The following is a 26,208-nucleotide window of genomic DNA, read 5'->3' as shown; positions in this document are numbered from 1 at the left end:
TCCAAATGAGAATGCACTTATTTCTTTCCAGAGAAAAGAAAGATCATAACATCTTTTTCTTAAAGATTCACTATATATCTGTGTGGGGAGAGCCTCCTCCCTATTACTTCCAAATCCTAATTGCTAAAAACCAGACTCTCATTTTTTCCTCTCTCCCTCTTGGACTCACAAAATTGTCAAGCTATATACATAAAATATTGTACAACAACAAAAGCACTGTAAATCTGACAGTGAATTCTCAAATGTTATTTTAAAAACTTAATTCTTTATTCAACTATATCAAAAACAAGGGGTGTAAAAGGAAAAGAAGTAAGACCTGGGCGGAGTCTCTCAACAGAGGAACCCTGCATTTTGGACTGGCCAACTCCTTGAGCAAGACTGTCCCTTTCCTTATGGGCACTTAACATTGCTTTGAGCAATCAACACTGGCAGTGCCTCCAATCATTTTGACAATCGAAAATACGTACACACATTCTCAAATGCCCTTCCAACTGAGAACCTCTGAATGTGGTAACCATGTGACGAGCTGCAATAGAATACTAAAGCAACTACAGCATCTAAAAATGTTTGGAATAACTTCCTTAAGATTCCTCCAGCACTGCTCAAAACCCCCGTGGAAGTGCCATGGCAATCCTACATAACCTTCATATTCAGTGTTGACTTCAACAGTCCTGTCTTTACACACCCATTTAACTAATACATGGTATCTCCAGGCCAAGGTTTTATCAAACGTGTGAAACGGAATGATCAATCCAGCAGTGCAGAGGCAGAGAAAAATCTTTCCAAGCGTATCACTGAAACCTTAGCAATTCTACCAAATGCTCTTTTTTTTTTTTTTTTGAGACAGAGCCTCACTCTGTCGCCCAGGCTGGAGTGCAGTGGCACGATCTCAGCTCACTGCAAGCTCCACCTCCCGGGTTCAGGCCATTCTCCTGCCTCAGCCTCCCGAGTAGCTGGGACTACAGGCGCCCGTCAACACGCCCGGCTATTTTTTGTATTTTTAGTAGAGACGGAGTTTCACTGTGTTAGCCAGGAAGCTCTCGATCTCCTGACCTCGTGATCTGTCCGCCTCAGCCTCCCAAAGTGTTGGGATTACAGGTGTGAGCCACCGCGCCCGGCCAAATGCTCTTTTTTGAAGTGCTAAACAATTAAGTGCCTCTGCTTTGCTAACAGCAGATACTGAAAATCTTTAAATCCCTAGGACTTCTCTGACCTTGGCTTATGCCTTAGTTTCTTTTCTGCATTTCCACGCCTAATCAAACCTTCTTGAATATTTGTACAGCACCCCTCGAATAAGTCTAACATATCCCTTCTATCCCACCTTAATATTTATCAGTCCCAGAAGAGCATGCACTCTTAGAAAATAAGAGCTTGATCTCTATTTTACATATCTAACATTTTTAATAACATGAGTATATGCACTTAACTTTTCAAGATATTGCTTTCAAGTTCTAGACAAATCAGTCTTAGAAACATTTATTAATAGCATAAAGATGATTTGATGATTAATGATCAGTATCAATATAACCACAATAAAATAATTTGAGTCATTACTAAGACACTAGTCCCATAAAGTGTCAACACAACCTCAACAACTGTTAAGCTGCTGTCTTCTGACACGGAAGTCCAGAGACCAGAAAATCTAGACACATGTGGGACAGCCCTTTCCCTGGGTCATACCAGCCCTGCAGCCCCAGCACCCTCTATTACCAATCCTCTGAAATAAAGCAGGTTTATCTAAACAAAGACACAAACTAGCATTAATGTAATGCATGTAACACTTAAACTGTCTTCATATCTGCCCTTTACGGACTTGTAAAAATCTACAAATCTATATGAAAGGCAAAGTAGGAGAACAGATTTTTTTAAAGATTAGTTTACATCTGTGGGGCAAGGGACAGAATTGGGAAAATACATATTTGATTTGTACATTCACCTCTAAATCACTGATATTATTTTTTACAATTTTCTTTAGGATCACTTTAGATCTCTGGCAGGGAGGGAGGAGTAACTGGAAAATAATTAACTTTGCAATAGACACATAGAGGTCACTTATACTATTTTATAATTATTTTAAGTTACAAAAAATTCTACATTGTGACATCAAGAATCAGAAAAAACTTTAACTTTCATGATTCAGGAAGTTTATGGATAAAGAGTAAAACAGAAATAAGTAAGAGAATACGTTTTTATCAAATTTAAAAGACCAGAATGAAAACATGGACTAGACACAAGAAAAACAGTTGCCATTTTGGGAAAGGAGTCTTAGAAAGTTCATGGCCAACACAAAAAAAATTCTAAAGCTAATCACCACAGAAAGTAGTTCTCAAGGCAAATAAATACTGTAGCAAATACAGAGATGATGCAGCTTTTAGCAGACTAGATTTGTAGTGTCGTCTAACACTGACCTTACTCTGACCAAAAGATTCTTGCAATCCTGAAACTTCTAGAAAAATAATAAAAATGTCTGAAATATGCCAACTTCTCAAAAACAGTTTTTATTGATTTTAAAATGCTATTAAGGTATTCATTGTCATAGAAAACTACCACGCACAATTCCTAAATTACAATCTGTGAACTTTTTTTCTTCAGAAAGACTCCACGATTAGAATCTGTTGAAATTTGTTGTAGAAAATTCTTTAAACCAAACATTTAAATCTAGGACTTCAATTTAATTTGTTCCTTGAATCTATTTTTATGTGGCCCTTAAAAACATATCCAAAAAACCCACTGCTAATATAGCAATAAAAATACTTTGGGTAAAAAAAAAAAAAACTGTAAACTTCAGATGTCAATATGAAAACATGTAGTATCCACTTGTTAGACTAAACAAAAGCACAGATATTGAATCTGCCCAGGAATTTGCTAAATGAAAATTCATCAGTTTTCCTTTTCTAAAATAATACAATTTCACAAGAGTAATCATCTAGCTTCGTACTAAAAAAATACAGCCCCAACCTTGGTATTAAAGTGCAGACTATATTACCAAATTAAATAAAGTGAAAAATCAAACCTGATACGTTAAGAATAAGGAGATTCTATGTGTGTGGAGAGAGACTGCGCAGACAGGAAAGGTGTGGCAAGCTGCTGAACCAGAGGCAATAAATTCCTTCTGCTTGAAACCACTCACGCCTCTCACCCACCGAAGGATTTCTCCCAATACCAAAAGACAATGTTTAACACAGAGTATATCATATACAGCAATTTCCCTACCTACAAATATATAAGAGATACAAGAATAGAATGTTCACAAATAAACCAGTAATTTCTCCCATTTCAATGATCAGTTTCCTCAGTGAGGCCTAGAACACGACAGACAGACAACTATCGCAGGCCCTGACTCCCCGAATGCATAGAGCAGAGAAACCTAAATAGCGAAGTGGAGTGTATCGAGTTTACTCCAGGTGGGACGATCTGATACTAATAACACAGTTTCCATGTAACAGATTAGAAAAACCAAGGGTCTGCTGTTCTCAGTGGCTTTGGAGCTGCAGAGCTCCAGTGAGAAAATGAGACTGATTCAAGCTTTTGTTTGATATATTTAAGTTTATAGAGCTCTGAGGTCAACAGCCCTCCGGCTCCAATGGGCCTAGAGCAATTAAATAACACCATATCAAAATGGCAAATAAGGGACCTGCTGATATGCTAGGAAAGGACTATAAATCCGCATTTAGATTGTGGCATTCCAGGGTTCTTTCCCTGTCAGAATAACTCTTCCTTTACTTGGGAAGAAAAAAAAAAAAGATTAAAGGGGAAATTTTCAAAATCTACTGCTCCAAGCATCCATTAATAATGTGCCAGCTCAGAAGTAAACGTATGGCAGTTGCTGATTATTTATTCTTTATTATTGATTGCTGTTATTGACAGCTATTAATATATGCTCTCCCTCATACTTTTGATTAAATTTATACACCTAAGTCATATTCCACTGAACATGTAATTTATTACATCACAAATCTCAAGCTTTGTTTAGGGTTCCTACAATAATTCCCTGCAACCCCCTTATTAAAACTACCCAGTTTCTCTAAAGAAATTAAAACATATTATCTTAGCTCTCACTATAGGATATTCCTCCCCTCCAACAGTACAAAAAAAAAAAAAAAGAATTATTGTCAATTTTCCTGCATGAAGTAACTCCATCCAATCAAAGGACTCTTGAATTAAAATGTTAATTTCCTTTCCTTATTTTTAAGACTAATTGCCAAGAAATACAAATGTAAAAATCTGGGGGCAGGTCAGAATACAAGAGTTTTCCAATCAGTGCTTGCTCTCTGATGAGAACTATGCTTCAGATTCAAGGCCATTATTACCTCCTGCAAAACAGTATTAAAGTAACAGAAGTTTCCATGAAAGATTCTTTTCTGACATTTTCCCTACATTAGATGTATAAAAACTTTAACTTATAAAAGGAAAATTAAATCAATTCTTGACTAAGGCTCAAATGCCAAGCTTCTAACTCAGACAAAATTTCTAAAGCAAGATGCCATATGATAGCTCATTTCACAATTCCCAAAACAAAATGAATCCTCAGTTGACCCCTGTGTACTATTTTTCCACTGGAGTTGCCAATGCAGATGTTACTTTTAAAATTAAGAGATGTCTAGGAATCCTGCAAAAGATTTGTGAATTTCCTGAAAAGCGGAAGAACACTACAGCAGCACGGGCAGGGTAGTGGTCCTGGCACCAAAGTCTTCATGTCTCACATGAAGACTCTCTGAGCAACAGAGGCATCTTACAAGGAGCTGCTCGAAGCTCTTTTCATTTTCCATACAACCTGCACATAAATGGTGGGGAGGCTTCCTGAATTCACAGGTGAACAACCTAAAGCAAAACTGGAAGTCATAATAGATAAAATGACAACTTAAACTCTTTTGCTACGGTGTCAGGCACACTTATATTACTACAAGATTCTATAGGTCTTCTCCGAAGATTTTATTAAGTTTTTTTTTTTTTAGTTTTGGTAGAAAGTGACTCTTCTATTTTAAATAATTTGAGATTTGGGATTTATTCTCTAAATATGTTACTACTTCTCACAAACATTTAAAAATAATGGCAATGCCTACTGTTTGCAAAGTGTGTACACTATTCTACAGTTTAAGAGGCCCTTAAAACTACATACATGCAAGCTTTTTTTGGAAAAAAAATGTATATTTCCTCAAAATAAATCATTAGTTCTTGTTTCAAGGTAAAGAGAAATGCCTAACCATTTATGATTTAAAAAAAAAAAGATGAAAGACTGTCTTTTGATGTTTGTCTGCTTTAGTCTGCAAAACAGTGCAACTCAAGTGAGCTTCAGTGCAGAGCAAGGACAGAACAGATGGGCAGTTCTTGGGGGCTCTTAGTTCCAGGTTAAATCTAAACTTGACCTTGTGGTAGAGTTCTCAGATACCGTGTGAGGAGTTGCTAATCCTATTCCACACCCTATTCCAAAAGGTCTGTGGAGAAAGATGGAAGAAGAATGACTGAGAAGCAGAGCCTATGATCACCTGTAAGAGGAGCCGGGTTTCATAGCAGCCCAGAAGGAAGGCAGCTTTAGCACCTGGGATGGACTAAGAAGGCAGTGTTGGCAAGAAAAATTGAATATTTTAGGAAGATTACGTTGACAGAAAAGAATAAGGAAGTAGGTGAGGAGAGGGCAGCCAGAAAGACTGGGGCTGGGCAAGTCAGTTCAGAATCCAAGAGAACAGGCAATTAGGGTTTGAATTGCAGTCAAGAGCTGAAACAAAAAATATGATTGACACTGCAGAGGGAAGGAATGGGCAGAATGTTAGCTAACTGAACAGGAGGTAAAAAAGAAATGGCAAAGATGAGTCCCAAAATTGGAATGTGAGTGACTGCAGGAATGGTGGTTTGAATATATTTTAAAGACAGAGCAGTCAGGAGTAGGGACAATATTTAAGTAAAAGGTGGTGAGCTCCATTTTTTTTTTTTTTTTTTTTTTTTGAGACGGAGTCTCGCTCTGTCTCCCAGGCTGGAGTGCAGTGGCGCGATCTCGACTCACTGCAACCTCCGCCTCCCAGGTTCAAGCGATTCTTCTGCCTCAGCCTCCCAAGTAGCTGGGATTACAGGTGCCCACCATCACACCCGGCTAATTTTTGCGTTTTTAGTAGAGATGGGGTTTCACCATGTTGGCCAGGCTGGTCTCGAACTCCTGACCTCGTGATCCACCAGCCTCGGCCTCCCAAAGTGCTGGGATTACAGGCATGAGCCACCACGCCTGGCCAGTGAGCTCCATTTTACTGACTCTAAGGAGATGCCCGACCTTCCCGGGAAAAGTACCTCAGTCTCAAGTGGAAGAACACGTCCAAGCACAAACGGGCCATCAACATGGAGATGGAGATTCAGATGTCCCAAGTGGGTGCCTCAGGAAAGGAAATTGCCAAGCGGAAAAATATCCACAGAGAAGGGTAGACGGTGCAGGATGTGGCTTTGTGAAAGGCACGGAAGGAGGTAGAAAACATAGTGGCCCCTTCCACCAAGTTCTGTAAGAGTGGAGGGAAGGTCAAAACGCCTAAGGACTCAATACATAACTGGGAAGGCTTTTCTCTCAACAATAACTGCCATGTTATTTCACAACACTCATTGTATTAGGAGAAATATCTAAGAAAAAATGTTACTAATGTTCTTGAAAAGCCTAAAGTATCCAAATTGCCTGCCTATTCTTTATTCATCTCAAACCATCCCGATCAAAAAGACTAATCATAGTCTTCACTTTACAAATAGTAAGAGACAACAGGGGACAAGTGACCTACCTACCCCCACCATAGCCGAAAATCACTCGTACTCCATTCTTGATCTGTGATACTGTCATTCTGTACATTGAGGTAGGGCTCCATTAAATTACTCGAGAGTGCATTCATATATTTACCTCCCCAAGCAGGTGAGCTGACCTGCCTTCTAACAAGTGGTAACAGAGCTTCACAATTAAGAATCTAAATTTATCCCAAGAGCCATACTTCTGAAAACTCCTACTTTCAGATGTACTGTAAAACTAAGTCTTTCAGAATTATAGCAAAGTCCCTAAAAAATAAGCCTCGCAGAGTGAGGAACATTTAGAATGTCACTTTTACACTGATACTCCAATTTATATTTAATTTACATTCTCTTAACAAGGTCTTGGGCAATGTACAGGATTCATACTGAAGTATATAAGGGTTTAGTGACTCTTACATGGCATAATTTAAATTATGTGAAAGTGCCACGGAATTATCCCACCAGAGTTTAACATAGGTCTTAATAGAACTACATATAAGCACATATAAAATGTGTGGGTTTTACCAATTTCCAGACAGACTGCCCCCTATAATCAAACTAACACTTGCACTTAGCTTTACATATTTCAGACAAGCTGTGCCAAGAAGTAATTCAGCTCTTTCAAAGCAAAACCCAGAGTATGATTTATTGCAAGAGCTACAAAATATTCTTTTCACCAAAATGGCTGGAAAATAATAAGTATTCAGTAAAATCTCCTTTATTGCATGTTCCAAAGGACTAATAAATGAAAACACAGTATAGGCATGACATGAACCAAGACTCTAAGAATAAATACTATACAGTACTAAGAAAAATACTGTAAGCATATTTCATTCCAAATGAGCCAGATTTACTACATACAATAACTCTAATTCATGCCTCAGGAAGGTGGGGGTGGGGAATGAAAGGCATTCTCTTTAAGAAAGAATATTTAAACGACACATGCATTCATTCCAGTGAAATTATACAGATGTTCTGTAATTCAGAAAACCACCCCTACCAAATGTAGCTCCAAAAGCACATCTCTTTTCACGTTTTATTTATCAATACATTCCGACTAAAGATTACGTATGCCACAATAAAAATTCAATCAATACTATCTACACTTAGAAAGATTACAAATAAGGATTTGGCAACTTATACTTTTCCCCCTAGAGGAAAGCTGCATTAATGCTGCATGTTTTCCACAAAGATCAATGAACTATCTTTAAATTATAATGTATTAAGTTAAAGTTAGGTAAGCACTTCAAAAGTAAGCCTTATTGCCTCAGGGCAAACTCACCATTTCTGTGCATAACCTCAAATTGGTTGTTTTCAAAAAAACAGGTTTCGGAAAAACTACAGCATAGCCTCTACCATCAATCTTCAAGGGGTTGCTGGACCAAGTTGCTTTTCTAGAAGACAGTTGTTTCTGCGCTGTTCAGCATAATGGTCTATATGCTTAAATTATTTACCACGCATCAACTCTATGCAAATTTATTCAAATTTCATAATTTAATCTGCATACTAAGAATGCTGATTCCACGTCATGAAAACTCCTTTATGATCTCCAGGATACCTCACATTGTTTTACCTCATGCCACAAAACTGATGCCGAAGCAAAAGTGCTGAAACTGACCATTCAATAAAGTCACAAAACCAAAGGTGGAAAGGAACGTGGACAGACCTGAAGTCCACTTCTTGGCTTCAAGGTGTAAACCATCTAGTCTATCCTTACAGTTCTTAAAGAGATTCAATAATCTGTTTCAATAATTCAACCATACAGTTAGATGAGCCTTCCTTCACTGCAGCGGTTCAAGTGCTATTTGGAAATGTCTGGAGATTTTACTGGCTGTCACACTGGAAGGAGGTGCTACTGGCATCTCCCTGATAGAGGACAGGGATGCTGCTGAACATCCTACAGTGTACAGGATCGTCCTCCACAACAGAGAATTCTCTCACCCAAATGTCAGTAAGTGCAGAGGTTGAGAAACTCTGCTTTAATGGAAGCTAAGTATTGTTTTCAGTAATGGAGTCCACAGCTTTCAGACACTCCATAAAGGTGGTTTTTATAGCTCTAACTAGAAACTTGTAGCTTCAAAAAGAGAGAGATGGACCACCACCCCAGGCCTCTAACCAAATGTTGTAACCATAGGTGACAGCATAGCTGGTGCTCAGCGCACAAAGCGTGAAGCCCTAGACACAGGGCGGCAGTTATCTGTGGTAAGGACAGTCAGGTGATGTCCCTCATCATCTGGAAACTCCCTTAGCTACCCATCGTCATGCAAGTTTGACGATTTTCCCCCAACCATCAACCTCCTCCTCTTCCACTCCCCATTATGGAGTTTTCTAGTAGAAGTCCGCTGTTTTGGTTTTTTTTCTGCATGAGTATTAAAAATAACATGAAAAGCTACTCAGAAGACATGAAAATAGTAAATAACCTAAGGTGCTTTCCATCCTGGAAAGTCTATGATTTAACAGGACTTAAAAAGGGTTTGTAAATCAGGTTTGGAACTTGAAAAGAAACAGGCTGCTTAAAGAAACAGTCTCATGAATAAATAAACATCTAACGTAAAATAATCATCAAAAGAATAGGCGCAGATATATGTACATAACTGCACAGCCACAGCCAAGAACGGAAGAAAGGAAGCTGAAATTGAGTGTTACTTCTTATGACTGCACCCGCAAGAAAAATGCTTATTTAGATGCTAAAAAGCAGAATTTATATTTTTCACTGTAATCTCAAAAGATTACAGAACTTTAAAACCCACGATTTTAAAAAAACTTTCAAACAAATCTTAATGAAAAGAAAACTCAGGCTTGAGAAACCTTACAGATCAATATGGACTTGATTGATAACTTACGGCCCATCCACATATTAAATAGCCATTAAACATAATATTGACTAGTTAGTGGCATGGATACATGCTCACCGTATCATAAGGCAAGACAGGTTGCAAACAATATACACACTATATTATCAATCCTGTATAAAATGTAAATAAATATATATATATGTGAATGAACTGTAAAATAAGGAAAGAAATACGCATATCCACACCAAGAGAGACAGGAAGATCTGCCAAACGTTAACAATGGTTATCTGAAGAGGGGAAGGTTATGCCCAATTTCTGTTTCTTCTTTGTGCTTTTCTCTACTTTCCAATTTTCTACAGTGAGAATCTTTTGTTATGTTTTGTACTTACAAAATTAATACATTCTTACAGATTTAAACTGTACTGTTTCAGGCCCTGTCCACAAAATAAGGAAAAAACAAACCTGAACATACCAACCTTTCAATTAAAGAAACCACCTTCAGAATCAACAAAAGCAAACATTTACTGAGCAGTATTATCATGTTCTGGCACTTTTCTAAGCACTTAAAATGTATTAACTTATTTCAATCAAACCAAAACAGATGTGTTGAGTAAAAAGAGCCCTGGAATCACAGAAAATGTAAATGAGTTTTAGTTCCACTGTGAATTTTGATTTGTTTCCATAGCTCGAAATGAGGGGGTTTAATAAAAATGATCTTTAAAGGTCATCTCAAGGCTAAACTAAGATTCTACATGTAAAAATTTGGCCAATAAGTGTTAGTCCGGAAGCCTCAAGAGTGATGGGGCAGTTTGGACCATCTCAAAAACACAGAACCCTACTAAAAAAGAACGTATGACAGTGTGTCTCAGTTCCTCCTCCTTAATATATGTAAATTTCCTATCATGTTTTTTTTTAAAAGGCCTACATTTTTCTAATACTTGGACACAACTGATCAAACCGAGGCGAAGTGTGTACCATTGTAAAAGAAATCATTGAAGAGTTCCATTTGTTGTTAAAAGTTTCGGTCACTTTTAATAAACCTGGAGTAAACAAAAACTTAAACATTTTAGTCGAGTTCTGGGGTAAAAATGATTCTTCTAGTGTCTGGTTAAAGGGATCTAAGGACCTACTGGGATTCAGCAAAAGACGTTCCACGTCTCAAATACACCCAAAATCTCAATACAACACTAAAAGAAAAGTGAGGGGCCAGCACGAAATTTCTGTTAGGGGAAATTTCAGCTGCGTAGTTAAGGAAATCAGGACTTCCCGGTTAACTATGGGGTCTTTGCCGCAGCTCACAGCCCGACACAAAGCTACAAGCCCGGAGGGTCGGTGGCTCACGCGTGGATCGAAAGAACCACGAAGGTTTGGGGAATGACACTGACCTGTTAGGTTTACTTCATGTCTCACTTACCACCATCAAAAGAGGTTCATTGATAGCTTTATTAGCAAAATTAGTAACAGAGTTGCACGTCTGTAACACACACACACGCGCGCGTGCGCACACACACACATACACCCGTGGGTCTATGGGAACATTGAGGGAGACAATCTCCAGGTTAAAACCACACAAAAACTATTTGGGAAACACAAAGACGCAAGACACAAAACAAATTTGGAGTGCAAATGTGCAAGACACACTCAGTGGGAACACAAAAGAGAAAAGCACAGCGGCTTGACAATTGGGACGGCGCCCGGCCCCACGTGGGGCCCCAGGTGGCCCCACCGCCGCCCGCACCCGGCCAGTCTCTGCAGCCCGCACGCGTCCCCCGCGGGGCGCGCGGCTCTTCACGGCGACAAACCGAATCCCGAACTTCGCCGCAGGGACCCCACGGCCGACAAGGAGGAGCCCGGCGCCGCCACCCACCCGCGGGGCCACCGACCCGGAGGCCCGCGCCTCGTCCCGGGGCCCCCGGCACGCCCGGGACCTCTGAGGGGGCGCGTCCGCCGACCCGGCCATCCCTGCGGCGCCGGGTCCCCAGCGTGTCGCCGCCGCCGTCGCCGCCGCGCTCCTCGGGGGGAGGGACCAGCGTCCCGGCGCGAGCCCAGAGGCCGCCCACCCGCGCCACTCCTTACCCGCGCCCGCCGCGCCAGCGCCTCAGAGCACCGAGGGCCGCCGCCGCCGCCGCTGTTTCGCCGGCCCCGGCGCCCGCGGCCGCGCCGCCGCCATCTTGACTCCAGTCGGAAGTGACGTCGGGCGGCGAGGCAGTGGCCTGCGGGGCTGGGGGGCTCCGGGACCCCCGGTCTCCCCACGATCCCAGAGCCCGGCCCTTGACCCTGCGCCGTCGCCCAATGGCCACCACCCAGCCGCCCCTCGTAGGTCACCGCGGATCCCATGGCGGCGCCTCGGGAAGGAACCCCGGCGGCTGGCGTCGCGGCAAGTCCGACCGCACCCTAGGGCTAGGATCCTGCGTGGTTCAAAGATTCTCAAAGAATCAAAAAGACTGAAGGAGGTGTTGGGGGGGCATGTCTATCGTTGGAGGTCATTAAATATCTGACAAGTACATAAACGTAGACCTTATACTTCTACGTTTGGATCTATACCAAAAAGATCCAACTCCAGGCAGACAGACGCAGCTGCTGGGTTTATTTGCTGCCCTAGTACCCAGGAGCAGTGACCAACGCTGCCCTGTGCCCGCGATGTTCCAGTGCAGCGCCTCTGAGAGCGCGGTAGTAGTCCTGCCCTTAAGGAGCTTGCTGTTCCCAAGCGGGCAAACAAATGGACTGCAGAGACGACGACTCATAGATGTTCTGATGAAGATGAACTGGGTGGAACTGGAGATGGCTCTTCGACATCCAAGGGTGGAGGCCTAGCACGTGGTTGAAAATGAGTTGAGTCGGGGAGAAGCACAGGCTGGAGATGAGCTGGAAAGTTGGGAGTTGTCGTTATAGATGGTGCCTGGAGCCTTCAGCACTTCAAGATAAAGTAATCCTCTGAGAATGAAGTCAGGAAGAATCCGAATGTGATGGCTACGTTGGCCATCTGCAGAAAGCACCCAGTGGAAAAACAGGATACTAAGGGCAGGTGTGCTTCCAAAAATTATGAACGATCATTTATGTAACAGGTTTAATCTTAAGAAAACGTGTTGGCCGGGCGCAGTGGCTCACGCCTGTAATCCCAGCACTTTGGGAGGCCAAGGCAGGTGGATCACGAGGTCAGGAGATCGAGACCATCCTGGCTAACACGGTGAAACCCCGTCTCTACTAAAACTACAAAAATTTAGCCGGCCGACGTGGCGGGTGCCTGTAGTCCCAGCTACTCCGGAGGCTGAGGCAGGAGAATGGCGTGAACCCAGGAGACGGAGCTTGCAGTGAGCCAAGATCGCCCCACTGCTCGCCAGCCTGGGCGACAGAGACAGACTCCATCTCAAAAAAGAAAGAAAACGTGTTGTATCAACATATATCATGTTATCTTATTGTAAAAGAATGAGGCTAGGCCGGGCGCGGTGGCTCAGCCTGTAATCCCAGCACATTGGGAGGCCGAGGCGGGTGGATCACGAGGTCAGGAGATCGAGACCATCCTGGCTAACACAGTGAAACCCCGTCTCTACTAAAAATACAAAAAATTAGCCAGGCGTGGTGGCGGGCGCCTGTAGTCCCAGCTACTCCGGAGGCTGAGGCAGGAGAATGGCGTGAACCCGGGAGGCGGAGCTGGCAGTGAGCCAAGATGCCCCACTGCTCTCCAGCCTGGGTGACAGAGCGAGACTCAGTATCAAAAAAAAAAAAAAAAAAAAGAATGAGGCTATAGCTGATGATCGAGTCGGTTATAGTAAACAAATGAAGATCACCTCATTAGAGTAAATTTTATTAAGGCCTTGAGAAGTGACAGGGCTTAAGAAAATAAGGAAATAAATCAAACCTCAAGGGTTTGCTTATTTCTTCCGCTATTCAAGGAAAAGAGACCCTAGATCTGGGAGATACCACGTGCCTGTCATCAAAGTAGTATTCTCTGTTGTGGAGCAAAGTCATCAGACTTCTGCACCCCTTACCTAGATTAATACCTTCCAACTGGATCCATGCATCGAAATTATCTGGGGTATCTATGAAGAAAATAGGGAGACCCCACTGTTCCATCCACCATCAAAACACTGACATAGAAATCACCATTTTAAGAGAAAAGCTATGGGCCACCTGGCATTCAATAGAATGCAAAAGGAAAATAAAGGATGTTAAATCAGAAGTGGCACGGTGAACCAGAATGGATACTAGATGGTTGGTTAACAGAGTAGCCAGTAGTTGTCTTTCCGGTTATTAATTCATTAATCCAAAGTGACTGGCTATATTAGTTTCCTGTGGCTGCTGTAACAAATTATCCCAACCCTGACAACAGAAGTTTATTCTGTCACAACTCTAGAGGCTAGAAGTCCAAAATCAGTATCACTAGGCCAAAATTAAGGTGGCAGCAGGGCCGGGCTCCCTCTGGAGTCTCTAGCAGAGAATTGCTCCTTCCCTTTTCCAGCTTCTGGTGGCTGCCAGCATGCCTTGGCTTGTGACTGCATCACTCTATCTTCAAGGCCAGTATCTTCAAATCTCTATCTCCATCTTCATGTCATCTTCTCCTGTGTATGTGGTCAAATTCCCTCTGCCTCCCTCTCATAATGATACATGTGATTTAGGACCCACCCAGATAATCTGGCCATCTCAAGATCCTTCACTTAATCACGTCTGCAAGACTACATATGAAGTAGCATTTGCAGATTCTGGACGTTAGGGATGTGGATTTAGGTATGGGGCCATTATTTAGCCTACCACACTGGGTGTCTCCTCAGCGTTTCTGAGGTTCCCCCCACCCTTAATCAGCCATTGTGTGGTTTTTATCTGTGTATTTCTTGAACATATGTCTATTTTTCAACCTGTGCTATTTCTCAGGGTAAATAATTAAATATAATTTGTTTAATCCGAAAAAGATCAGAGCCAACAAGAATACAATAATTTAATGAGCACTTATTATCCATGTGATATGTTAAATATCATTCTTTTGCCTCTTTGAAAAGGTAAAATGTATTGTTTAGCCTACCACGCTGGGTGTCTCCTCTGAGGTACCCCCACCCTTAATCAGCCATTGTGTGGTTTTCATCTGTGTATTTCTTGAACATATGTCTATTTTTCAACCTGTGCTATTTCTCAGGGTAAATAATTATATATAATTCATGTAATCCAAAAAAGATGTGAGCCATCAAGAATACAATTTAATGAGCACTTATTATCCATGTGATATGTTAAATATCACTCTTTTGCCCCTTTGAAAAGGTGAAATGTATTGCAGGCTGTTTCTGTATGGGGATGGAAGTATAAAAATATACTCTTTGTCCAAGTCGACAACATGAATCAAACTCCACTCTACCCCAGTACACCTGGTACCAGTTCTGGCCGGTTTTGTACCTTGCTGCGGCAGTACCGTGATGGAAGACATGATCATCATTCACCACAACATCCCACTACCCAGAAGAGTGTCTGGCACACGATAAATGCTAAATAGATATTTTTAATTGGAAAAAAAGGCTTCTCCATGGCCCTCTCAATGTGGATGTATTACAGCAAGTATGTTGCAGACTGCACCTTGTGCCTATAAATGACAGTATATTGTTCATATTATTATAATAGGAACCACAGCACTCCTGCCCTGCATAGCAGCTGGAATGCCTGTAGCGCTTCCAAAAAGATTGCAGATCTTACAGCTGAGATCCAAGAGTTTACCGTACATTGCCAATGAGAATAAGTGGACTTCAAATTCCCCGAATGATAACAATACTTATTCTCTGTTGGGCTCTGTTCTAGGTATTTTACATGCACTCTCTCACTCATCCTCATAACCTGTGTGATAAGCACTATCCTCCTTTACGGCTGAGGATACTGAAGCTAGGAAGGGTTCAAGGACCTGCCTTGGCCAGGCGCAGTGGCTCATGCCTATAATCCCAGCACGTTGGGGGGCCAAGGTGGGTGGATCACTTGAGGTCAGGAGTTGGAGACTAGCCTGGCCAACATGGTGAAACCCCATCTCTACTAAAAATACAAAAAATTAGCCAGGAGTGGTGGCGCACACCTGTAATCCCAGCTACTCAGGGGCCTGAGATAGGAGAATTGCTGGAATTTGGGAGGTGGAGGTTGCAGTGAGCTGAGATTGTGCCATTGCACTCTAGCCTGGGCGACAGAGCAAGGCTTTGTCTCAAAAAAAAAAGGACTTGCCTCATTAGTAATACAACCAAGCTGATAGGGTAGTTTGGCAGGACACACAGCCATTTCCCTCTCAGCTTAGGAAGGCTGTCATAAGACTAGGACTAGCTCTGCAAGGCAAGAGAAGGACAATTTAAGATGGAAAAAAAAATAATGGAACCAGGTTTTGAACATAGACCATTTAGCTCTCTAGTAAGCAACCTCCCCACCCCCAGAGCATGCATGCACGCACACAGACATGCACACACACAAGCATGAGAGCTAGACCAGGAACTGGTACACACAACCATGCTACTCCATGTGCCTAACTAGTCATTCCTCCATCGACATACTCACGGTAGGGGCTGGGAAGGATTTTTTTTTACATTTTTTTTTATTCATTGCTAGAATTATTAGAAAACATTGGATGCATAAAGCCACCGTTCTAAATCCTGTCCCTGGACTGTCAGGCAAGAACAGCTATTAAAAGATCATAGGCATGGGCAAAGGAAGAGAATCCAGTGCAGCTGAATCAAATGAACTCACCTTTTGTTCAGATAACACATCGCTTACCTTTAACAAAAAAAAAAAGAGACCCTTTTCTTGCGACTGCAAATCATGTTCTATGAAATCCAGCGTCTCTTCTGTTACATCACCTTACTCTCTCCACCCGCCATCCCTGTGCCACGTCATTTACCTGAGCAAGGAATGGCATCCAAGCAAGCACGCCAGCCACTAAAAGATCTGAAACTTGCGCTCTTCACGCATGAAGTCCAGACATAGCAACTCTGGGGGCTAAAGATACATCTTACCGCGTCATAGGCACTTTTGGCTGCGTAGTTTCTGTGAGAAAAACCCCGCAGCCTCAAAATGTATAGGCAGATCTTGGCAGTGGTGAAATGTAGTTATGTGAGAAAGGGAAAAGGGGTGACCTTTACTGAGCCCCAAGTCTGAGCTGGCACTTTATACTACGTTGTCTTTTCATCATCTCGACAGCAGCAACAGCTGCTAATTTTGCAGATGAAGAAACTGAAGCTCAGATTGTTGAGAGACACAGCTGGCTGGAATAAGGGGGCAGGATTGAAGGACTTCTCTGATGTCAAAGTCCATGATGAGTCGCTGTTCATTCAGCTTCGGGTCATCAAGATGCTCTTAGGCACTAGGGGCAAAGACGCCACCCCTCTCCTCCAAGAACTTAGGATCCAGTGGAGGAGACAGGACTTACAAAGCAGGCTAGTCCTGGTGTGAAACCAGAACCGCATTCCTGTGCTCCCAGCGTGCTCCGTGATGGCTCGCTCCCCACACCTTTTTCCTTTTCATTATTACTCTTAAGAAAAAACAAAAAAGGCCGGGCGCGGTGGCTCACGCCTGTAATCCCAGCACTTTGGGAGGCCGAGGTAGGCAGATCATGAGGTCAGGAGATCGAGACCATCCTGGCTAACACAGTGAAACCCCGTCTCTACTAAAAATACAAAAAATTAGCTGGGTGTGGTGGCGGGCACCTGTAGTCCCCGCTACTCGGGAGGGTGAGGCAGGAGAATGGCGTGAACCCGGGAGGGGGAGCTTGCAGTGAGCCAAGATCACGCCAATGCACTCCAGCCTGGGCGACAGAGCGAGACTCCGTCTCAAAAAGAAAAAAAAGAAAACTGACTTGAAGATGTTAAAATTTCTTTTTTTTTCTTTTTTGAGACAGAGTCTCACTCTGTCATTCTGTCACCCAGGCTAGAGTGCAGGAGTGCAGTAGTGCAATCACAGCTCACTGCAGCCTTGACCTCCTAGGCTCAAGCAGTCCTCCTGCCTACAGAATAGCTGCGACCACAGGCACATGCCACCATGCCCGGGTAATTTTTGTATTTTTAGTAGAGATGAGTTTTTGCCATGTTGCCCAGGCTGGTCTCAAACTCCTGGGCTCAAGTGATCTGCCTGCCTCGGCCTCCCAAAGTTCTGGAATTACAGGCATGAGCCACCACACCCGGCCCAAGATGCTAAAATTTCTAACCAATTCAAATATGTGGCTCTAGAGATAACTTCACTCCATTCTACAAAAAAAAAAAAAAAAAAAAAAAAAAAAAAAAAAAACTCCAGAGCACTGTTGCTAGGTTTTTCCATTGTATTTCTTATATCACATTTTCTAGAACCAAACATATTAATAAATTAGGTGAAAAGTTCAGAATTTCCCAAACAGATGTCACTCCTTTCAAAACTTTTAGTGTAACAAGCTCAAAGACCCATGCAGTTTGTTCCAGAGAATACAAAGGGAAGTTTAAGCCTTCCTTGAAGGCAGAATGAATTCACTAATACGCCACCGAGAACATGAATAAAACATATACATTGACAGCAAAGACATGAAGTGAAAATATTTTTCAGCTGGAAATAGCAAGCAGCATGAGAAGGAATAGAAAATAAATCAGGTCCAGAAATGAGCAGATTGCACTGAGATAGTAAAACGCTAAGCCTGGATTTGTTTCCCCAGATTCGAAGCTGTAGTGTGTTGCCTTACAGGGGCGTCTGTAGATGAGATGACCCGTCCTACCTACCCAGTCAGTGCTCACTCATCACCAAGGTGAACCATCTCTTACCCTGGATCTGTGCTTCTCACCATCCCCATCTGCATTCTAGAAATGCCGTGCTCTCCATTTTTCTTCACCCCGCTTTCTGTCTAAGATTCACTCCTCACCCCTTCTCTCCTGCATCCAAATTTTGCCTTTCCTCAGAAGCCAGCTTTTTGATGAAATCTTCCCATAGTTGCATTAGTTTCCTAAGGCTACTGTAACCAAGAGCCACAAAACAAATTCAGTGGTTTAAAACAGGGGTCCTCAACCCCCAGGCCACAGACCGATACCCTGTTAGGAACTGGGCGACACAGCAGGATGTGGGCAGCAGGCGAGTCAGGGAAGCTTAATCTGTATTTATAAAGCCACTCGCCATCACTGGCATTACCGCCTGAGCTCCGCCTCCTGTCAGATCAGTGGCAGCATTAGGTTCTCATAGGAGCAAGAACCCTATTGTGAACTGTGCATGCAAGGGATCTAGGTTGTGAGCTCCTTATGAGAATCTAATGCCTGCTGATCTGTCACTGTCTCCCATCACCCCTAGATGGGACCATCTAGTTGCAGGAAAACAAGCTCAGGGCTCCCACTGATTGTTTTATGTTGGCGCAAAAGTAATTGTGGTTTTTGCTCTCTTTTTAATGGCAAAAACCACAATTACTTTTGCACCAGCCTAATACCTTATGGTGAGTTGTATAATTATTTCATTATATATTATAATGTAATAATAATAGAAATAAAGTACGCAATAAATGTAATGTGCTTGAATCATCCCAAAACCATCCCTCTATCCCTGCCACCTCACCCCTCCCCAGCAGTCGGTGGAAAAATTGTCTTCCATGAATCCGGTCCCTGGTGCCCAAAAGGTTGAGGACCTCTGGTTTAAAACAACAGAAATGTGTTCTCTTACAGCCTCAGAGGTGTCTCAGGGTTGGTTCCTTCTGCAGAGTCTAAGGGAGAATCTGTTTCATGCCTCTCTCTTCGATTCTGGTGGTTGCCTTGACATTCTGTGGCTTGTAGATAAATTATTCCAATCTGTCCCTGTCTTCATCTGGCCATCTTCTCTCTGTGTCTCTCTGTCTTCACACGGCTTTCTTTATAAGAATACCAGCCATTAGATTTAAGGCCCACCCTAGTCCAGTATGACCTCATCTTTTTTTTTTTTTTTTTTTTTCAATAGAGACAGGGTTTTGCCATGTTGCCCCAGGCTGGTCTCAAACTCCTGGGCTCAGGAGATCCGCCCGCCTCGGCCTCCCAAAGTGCTGGGATTATAGGCGTGAGCCACTGCGACCACAGCTCATTCTCATCTTAACTAATTACATCTCAAAGACAGTATTTCCAAATAAGTTCACATTCTGAGACTCCAGGAGGACATGGATTTTGGGAGGACAGTGTTCAACCCAGTACAGGAGTGGAGCCCACATTCATTCTTTCCTCATTTTATGAATCCAGTGATAACCTCCATCAGCAATTGTCCATACACTGTGTTGCCTCGGGGTCTAATTGCTGTATGTGTGTATCTTTTTTTATTTTTTATTTTTGGACAGGATCTCACTCTGTGGCCCAGGCTGGAGTGCAGTGGTGCGATCTTGGCTCAACCTTCCAGGCACAAGTCATTCTCCCACCTCAGCCTCCCAAGTAGCTAGGATTACAAACATGTGCCACCATGCCCACCTAATTTTTATATTTTTTGTAGAGACGAGGTTTCGCCATGTTGCCCAGGCTGGTCTCGAACTCCTGAGCTCAAGCGATCCACCCACATCGACCTCCCAAAGTGTGGGATTACAGGCGTGAGCCACCAAGCCCTGCCTGTGTGTGTGTATCTTAAGTCCCAACCATATTTTAAGCCCCTGAGAGTGTGAACAGAGTGGTACACATCTCCGCCATCCAAACAGTGGTAAGTACAAGTCTTTCCTCCGTCAATAATGTTGATTGATAACAACCATTTTGTAATTTAAATACGATCTCTGAAATAGAAACACATTAGCCATAGCTAAGTAAGAACTCAGGGCCTGCACTTTGAATTCATTTTTCTTCCAATTTAACTTGACTATATGTTTCCCTCCTCCACCCCTCCCTAAGACTTCAAACTGTATTGTCATTATAAGATGTTTTGGCTAACAGTAGAATAATAATACCTTTCCAAAGCTGCACAAACAGGGTCAAAAACACATGGCATTCCTCTGTCACATTTAAGTCATCATTTAAACAATTTGAGGGAACCATACAGGTGTCATAGCCAAGACAAACACCTGCCAACACCTGCCAGGGCTGAGACACCTGAGCTAGGTTCATAAGCCTGCTAACCAACCTATATGAGCCTCTACTTGAAATTCATTCATTGGCCAAATTATAGTTAACTTTAACTAATTGGAGAGCAGTGGCCCCCAAGGGAACATTCTGAAATATCTAGAGAGAACTTGGCACGGTGGCTCGCACGTGTAATCCCAGCACTTTGGGAGGCCAAGGTGGGTGGATCACAAGGTCAGGAGTTTGAGACCAGCCTGGCCAATATGGTGAAACCCTGTCTCTACTAAAAATACAAAAATTAGCTGGGCATGGTGGCAGGCGCCTGTAGTCCCAGCTACTCGGGAGGCTGAGGCTGGAGAATCGCTTGAACCCAGGAGGAAGATATCGCAGTTGAGCCGAGATCACACCATTGCACTCCAGCCTGAGTGACAGAGCAAGACTTCGTCTCAAAAAAAAAAAAAAAAAAAAAAATCTGGAGAGAGTCTGGGTTGTCCTAATTGGGTGGGGGCTGCTACTGGCCTCTGGCAGGTAGAGACCAGAAATGCCACTGAGTATTCTAGAATACACAGGACAGTCCCCTTCCACAACACAGAATTATTCAGCCCCAGATATCGAAAATGTCTTTTTTTTTTTTTTTTTTTTGAGACAGAATCTCGCTCTGTCACCCAGGCTGGAGTACAGTGGCGCAATCTCGGCTCACTGCAAGCTCTGCCTCCCAGGTTCACGCCATTCTCCTGCCTCAGCCTCCTAAGCAGCTGGGACTACAGGCGCCTGCCACCACGCCCAGCTAATTTTTTGTATTTTTAGTAGAGACAGGGTCTCACCGTGTTAGCCAGGATGGTCTCGATCTCCTGACCTCGTGATCCACCTGCCTTGGCCTCCCAAAGTGCTGGGATTACAGGCATGAGCCACCGTGCCAGGCCAAAAATGTCTTTTTTAAAACCCTGCTATAGATTATTCAGTATGTGACTTTCAAGTCTCACCTTTAGACATTTGTGTACTCAGTTGGAGTATGGACTGCAGACTCATCAAGGAAAGGAAGTATATCTCCCTTCTTCCCTTACCTTCCCTCCCCAGCGACTTCTTTAGACAGTTTTTCCCTAATTGCTCCTCCTGCTGCTGTGAAATTTGAGTATCATAGATGTACTGTATATCTGTTTATGTACTGTATAAATATCTGATATGATTTGGCTGTGTCCCACCCAAATCTCATCTTGAATTGTAGCTCCCACGATTCCCACGTTATGGGAGGGAACCTGTGGAAGGTAATTGAATCATGGGGGCGGGTCTTTCCCATGCTATTCTTGTGATAGTGAATAATTCTCATGAGATCTGATGGTTTTATAAAGGGGAGTTTCCCTGCACAAGTTCTCTTCTCTTGTCTGCTGCCATGTGAAACGTGCCCTTCACCTTCTGCCATGATTGTGAGGTCTCCCCAGCCACGTAGAACTGTGAGCCCATTAAACCTCTTTCTTTTGTAAATTGCCCAGTCTCAGGTATGTCTTTATCAGCAGCATGATAAATGGACTAATAGAATATCTGTGCTTTAGACACTTTGGTGAGGTATAATGGCTACAGTTACTGGAGAGCAAACATATTGTAGCAGGCAATAAGCTAATCTTTTATGTAAGATTATAAAGAGCTTTTTTAAAAAAATTGTGGCAAAAATACATGCCAAGTAAAGTTTACAATCTAAGCCATTTTTAAGTGTACAGTTTCGTGGCACTTAAGTACAGCCACATTGTTGGACAACCATCCCACCATCCATCTCTAGAATTCTTTTCATCTTACAAAACCGAACTTTTTTTTGAGACACAGTCTTGCTCTGTCACCCAAGTTGGAGTGCAGTGGATGATCTCGGCTCACTGGAGCCTCGACCTCCCAGGATCAAGTGATCCTCCCACTTTAGCCTCCCAAGTATCTGGGACTACAGGAGCGTCCCACCATGCCCAGCTAATTTTTGTTTATTTTTTATAGAGACAGGGTCTCACTGTGTTGCCCAGGCTGGTCTCAAACTCCTGGACTCAAGCAATCCTACTGTGTTGGCCTCCTAAAATGCTGGGATTACAGGCGTGAGCCCCTGTACCCGGCCCAAAACTGAAAATATATACCATTTAAACAATAGTTTCCCATTCCCCCTTCCTTCAATCCCTGCCAACCATCATTCTACTTTCTATTTCCATGAATTTGATGAGTTACCTCATGTAAGTGTAATTATATAGTAGTTGTCTTTTTGGGACTGGCTTATTTCACCTAGCATAGTGTCTTCAAGGTTCATCTATGATGTAGCATGTGTGAGAATTTTCTTCCTTTTAAAGACTAAATAGTATTACATTGCATGTATATATCATATTTTATTTATTCATTCATTGGCCCATGGACATTTGGGTTGCTTCCACCTTTTGACTATTGTAAATCATGCTGCTATGCACATGAGTGTACAACTATATCTTCAAGACCCTGCTTTCAATGTTTTGGGGTATATACCCAGGTGTGGAATTGATGAATCATTTGATAATTATATTTTTAATTTTTTGAGAAACTGCCATACTGTTTTCTGTAGTGACTGCAACTTATTTATTTATTTATTTATTTTAGAGATGGGGGTCTCACTCTGTTTCCTGGGCTGGACTCAAACTACTAGACTGAAGCGATCCCCACACTTCAGCCTTCCAGTAGCTGGGACTACAGGTATGTGCCACCATGCCTGGGTTTGCACCATTTTTACATTCTTACCAGAAGTGCACAAAGGTTCCAGTTTCTCCATATGCTCAATAATGCTTATTTTCTGTTTTTGATAGTGGCCATCCTAATAGGTGTGGGATGCGATTGCATTGTGGTTTTGATTTTCATTTCCCTAATGGTTTGTAATGTTGAGTATCTTTTTAGGTGCTTACTGGTCATTTGTATATATTCTTTGAAAAAGGTCTGTTCAAATCTGTTGCTCATTTTTTAATTGGGTTGTTTTTGTTATTGTTGGATGGTAGGATTCTTTATTAATCCTTTATCAGATATATGATTTGCAAATATTTTCCCCTATTCTGTGGGCTGCCTTTTTACTCTGGTGATTGTGTCATTTGATGCACAGAAGATTTTAATTTTGATCTGGACCAGTGTATCTATAATTTATTTTGTTGCCTGTGATTTTATTCTTATATCCAAGAGATTATTGCCAAATCTAATGTCACGAAGTTTTTAAGAGTTTTGTACTTTTAGCTCTTAATGCTTAGATCTTTGATCCATTTTGAGTTAACTTTGGTTTATCGTGTAAGGTAAGAGTCCAGCTTCATTCCTTTACATGTGGATATCCAGTTTTCCCAACTCCATCCGTTGAAAAAACAGTCTTTCCCCATTGAATGATCCTGATACCCTTGTATATCATTTGGCCATATATGGGTGGGTTTACTTCTGGACTTATAAACAGTTTTAAAATATAAGTTTAGCTCCCGTGCTTCTGGTTAAAATATCTGTTTCAGCCTTTGAGAACTTTTTGGTGTTTGGTTTTTATTATGAGAATTTATGGCCAGGAATTTTTTACTGTTTTATGGTTAAGATTTTGTGACCCTCAAGAACCAGTTTTTGCCCCTGTTGAAAGTGCATGAACTCTAATCAATAACATTCTGATTAAGGGAGGAAACAGTTGATTAGTGCAAAGGTTAAATACATTGGTCAAAATAGGGATGTTGTAGTTTATTTTTCTGTATTATACCATTTTCTCATTATTCTTAATAATGAATGTTCTTCATGCCACCTGGCTCCTCATTATAAAATCCGTGAAGACTGTGCTTAGTAGAGGCAAAGAGGCAGCATGCCCGACAACCAACTAAAACCCCCTTACAATGAGAAAACCAGAGCTTCATTTCCGCTTACTGCGGGTACCTGATCTAAAAATATCAACAAACTCATGCTTCATGCAGACTGGAGGGGGACCTTGTCTCCTAGATTGATTTCATGATGCAATGCATAATGATGGCACTATGGAAAGCTAAATATTAATAATACTCTTTTTATGCATGCTACTCTGAGAGCAAATGTCAAAAAAATTTACTAGCAAGACTGAAGCCTCATTAACATTCTCTTATGCCAGTCAGGATTATGTCTACTTTCAGAGAGAGAAACCAACGCCAGAGGAAGCCGCACTCCCTGGACAATGTTGTTAAACTTTCCTTCTTCTGACATGATTAAAATTAGCAATAGGCCTTCTTATGAATTGTTTCTTATATCCCACATGGCTTGACAAATCACAATACCTCAACTGCTTTTTCTAGTTGACCATGGTGAAATGTTATGGCTATAGTTAGATGACAGCAAACAAATATTTTAGCAGGGAATAAACCCATCTTTGATGTAACATTATAAATGACTCTTACCTATAAAATTGACTCCTGTGTTTCTTTTTAAAACATTTTTTTCAGCCACTAAAAACTTTTTTAGTGTTTTTTGTTTCTAAGAATTCGTGGTTTAAGAATCTGTATGATTTTAATTATGATACCTAACATCTCTGGGCCTGATTTTTATATATGTAACATTAAGAAGCTAGACTAAACCCCTATGATCCCTTCCAGTTCTAAAATCTATTATTCTGGTTGTATTTATATAAATTACCCCAGGACTGTTTTATAATTGAAAACTAAACCAGCAATATTTGACAATGAGAGATATTTTGAGTTAGAAATAGAGTAGTAGTTAGGCTGTCTCTTACATTGTGAGAAACACTCTAAAATACACATTTTATACACATTTTTCTAAAAACTTTTGGTATTTTTCAACAAAACTAGTGAAGTAAAAATCACATGCAATTCAGCTTTATCACAGGTGACATATGGGGAACAATGCAAAACAAAGAAAACCACAATTATATAACTTGAGACTTCATGTTGAATCCTCTTAAGATGTCTCTACGAAATTTTAACTACATTTGCAGTTAAATGAGAATGTTCTTTCAATGACAAAAAAAAACTCATTACTTTATATGTATAGGGATATGTAAAAATATACATATAAATACGTATGTAAAATACAAAATAAAAATGTAAATATATGAAAGTACAATATGAAATAGGCAAATATATTTATATAACGTAAAATGTATATGTTATATATATAGTCACTATTTTGAATCAGAGAACAAAAGTACTGTCACTTATAACATCCTTTTTAATTCAAAAAATTCATATTCTCTCCCGGAGTTGGAAGATTACTAAATAATAGAACAAAAGTTGACTTGAAAACAGAAAAAAAAAAATCTTCTCTAGGTCTGTAATGTATATTTAACAAGCAGTTACAATACAAAAAGCCTGAATATAATTATAAGAGTGGTATGTATGAGGCTAGTCAATATCGTAATGGTGATTCAATTTTGCTAGTTTCGCTGAAAATTTTCTGCTAAGATTTCTGAGCTAAATGTATAAGGAAAAGTCATTAACACATTCATTTGGGTTTTTTTTCCTATTCCATCTAATTCCTAAAATAACCTGGCTGGCTGACACACGTACATACAGCATGATAGGGTGAAAATAGGTAAAGAAAGCAAAACAGAAGAAAAAAAGAAGTGAATACAACAGATGTTTCTATACCATTATCTCAGCAGCATCCTTATAGTCTGAATATACTGTGTGTCCTACACCTGATTTTTGTAACCTCCCCAAGCGGGAGCATAACAACAGAGTTAAGATCAGAAAACGCAGTTCTGCCAAGGGCTACCACTA

The 26,208-nt window shown here is 41.6% G+C and overlaps 1 protein-coding gene, 1 long non-coding RNA gene and 1 other non-coding gene across 8 annotated transcripts in view, besides 3 other annotated features; 2 read left to right on the top strand and 1 right to left on the bottom strand.

Annotated features, from left to right (window-relative positions):
- PRDM2 (PR/SET domain 2) overlaps nt 1–11,737 on the bottom strand; it is a 124,892-nt gene extending 113,155 nt beyond the window's left edge. For 4 of the 6 annotated variants that reach the window (NM_001393986.1, NM_001135610.2, XM_047429994.1 and 1 more), the window contains exon 1: nt 11,625–11,737. The gene's annotated coding sequence lies outside the window, so the exon portion shown is untranslated. Of the gene's footprint in view, nt 1–6,279; nt 8,172–11,624 lie in introns of those variants that run through there. The other 2 variants (NM_012231.5, NM_015866.6) reach the window with 1 other exon arrangement.
- Nucleotides 8,772–8,821: an enhancer, noted in NCBI's record as "active region_216". NCBI's record gives its function as "activates an Ori minimal core promoter by ATAC-STARR-seq in GM12878 lymphoblastoid cells {active_cell/tissue: GM12878}" and the evidence as "EXISTENCE:reporter gene assay evidence [ECO:0000049][PMID:35858748]".
- Nucleotides 8,882–9,231: an enhancer, noted in NCBI's record as "active region_215". NCBI's record gives its function as "activates an Ori minimal core promoter by ATAC-STARR-seq in GM12878 lymphoblastoid cells {active_cell/tissue: GM12878}" and the evidence as "EXISTENCE:reporter gene assay evidence [ECO:0000049][PMID:35858748]".
- Nucleotides 11,215–11,984: a silencer, noted in NCBI's record as "silent region_288". NCBI's record gives its function as "represses an Ori minimal core promoter by ATAC-STARR-seq in GM12878 lymphoblastoid cells {active_cell/tissue: GM12878}" and the evidence as "EXISTENCE:reporter gene assay evidence [ECO:0000049][PMID:35858748]".
- Nucleotides 15,726–15,855, top strand: LOC124900446 (small Cajal body-specific RNA 11). Its single transcript, XR_007067400.1, has one exon.
- A 4,177-nt stretch (nt 15,856–20,032) lies between these two features.
- LOC105376756 (uncharacterized) lies at nt 20,033–24,878 on the top strand. Its single transcript, XR_946969.3, has 3 exons — nt 20,033–20,147; nt 23,099–23,191; nt 24,588–24,878. It is a non-coding gene; the product is annotated as an uncharacterized LOC105376756 (long non-coding RNA).
- Nucleotides 24,879–26,208: the final 1,330 nt, after the last annotated feature.

This window comes from Homo sapiens, chromosome 1, assembly GCF_000001405.40.
Source record: "Homo sapiens chromosome 1, GRCh38.p14 Primary Assembly".
Taxonomy (NCBI): Eukaryota; Metazoa; Chordata; class Mammalia; order Primates; family Hominidae; genus Homo; species Homo sapiens.
Note: the sequence above shows the minus strand (reverse complement) of the source record. Positions and strands in the feature narration are given on the sequence as shown.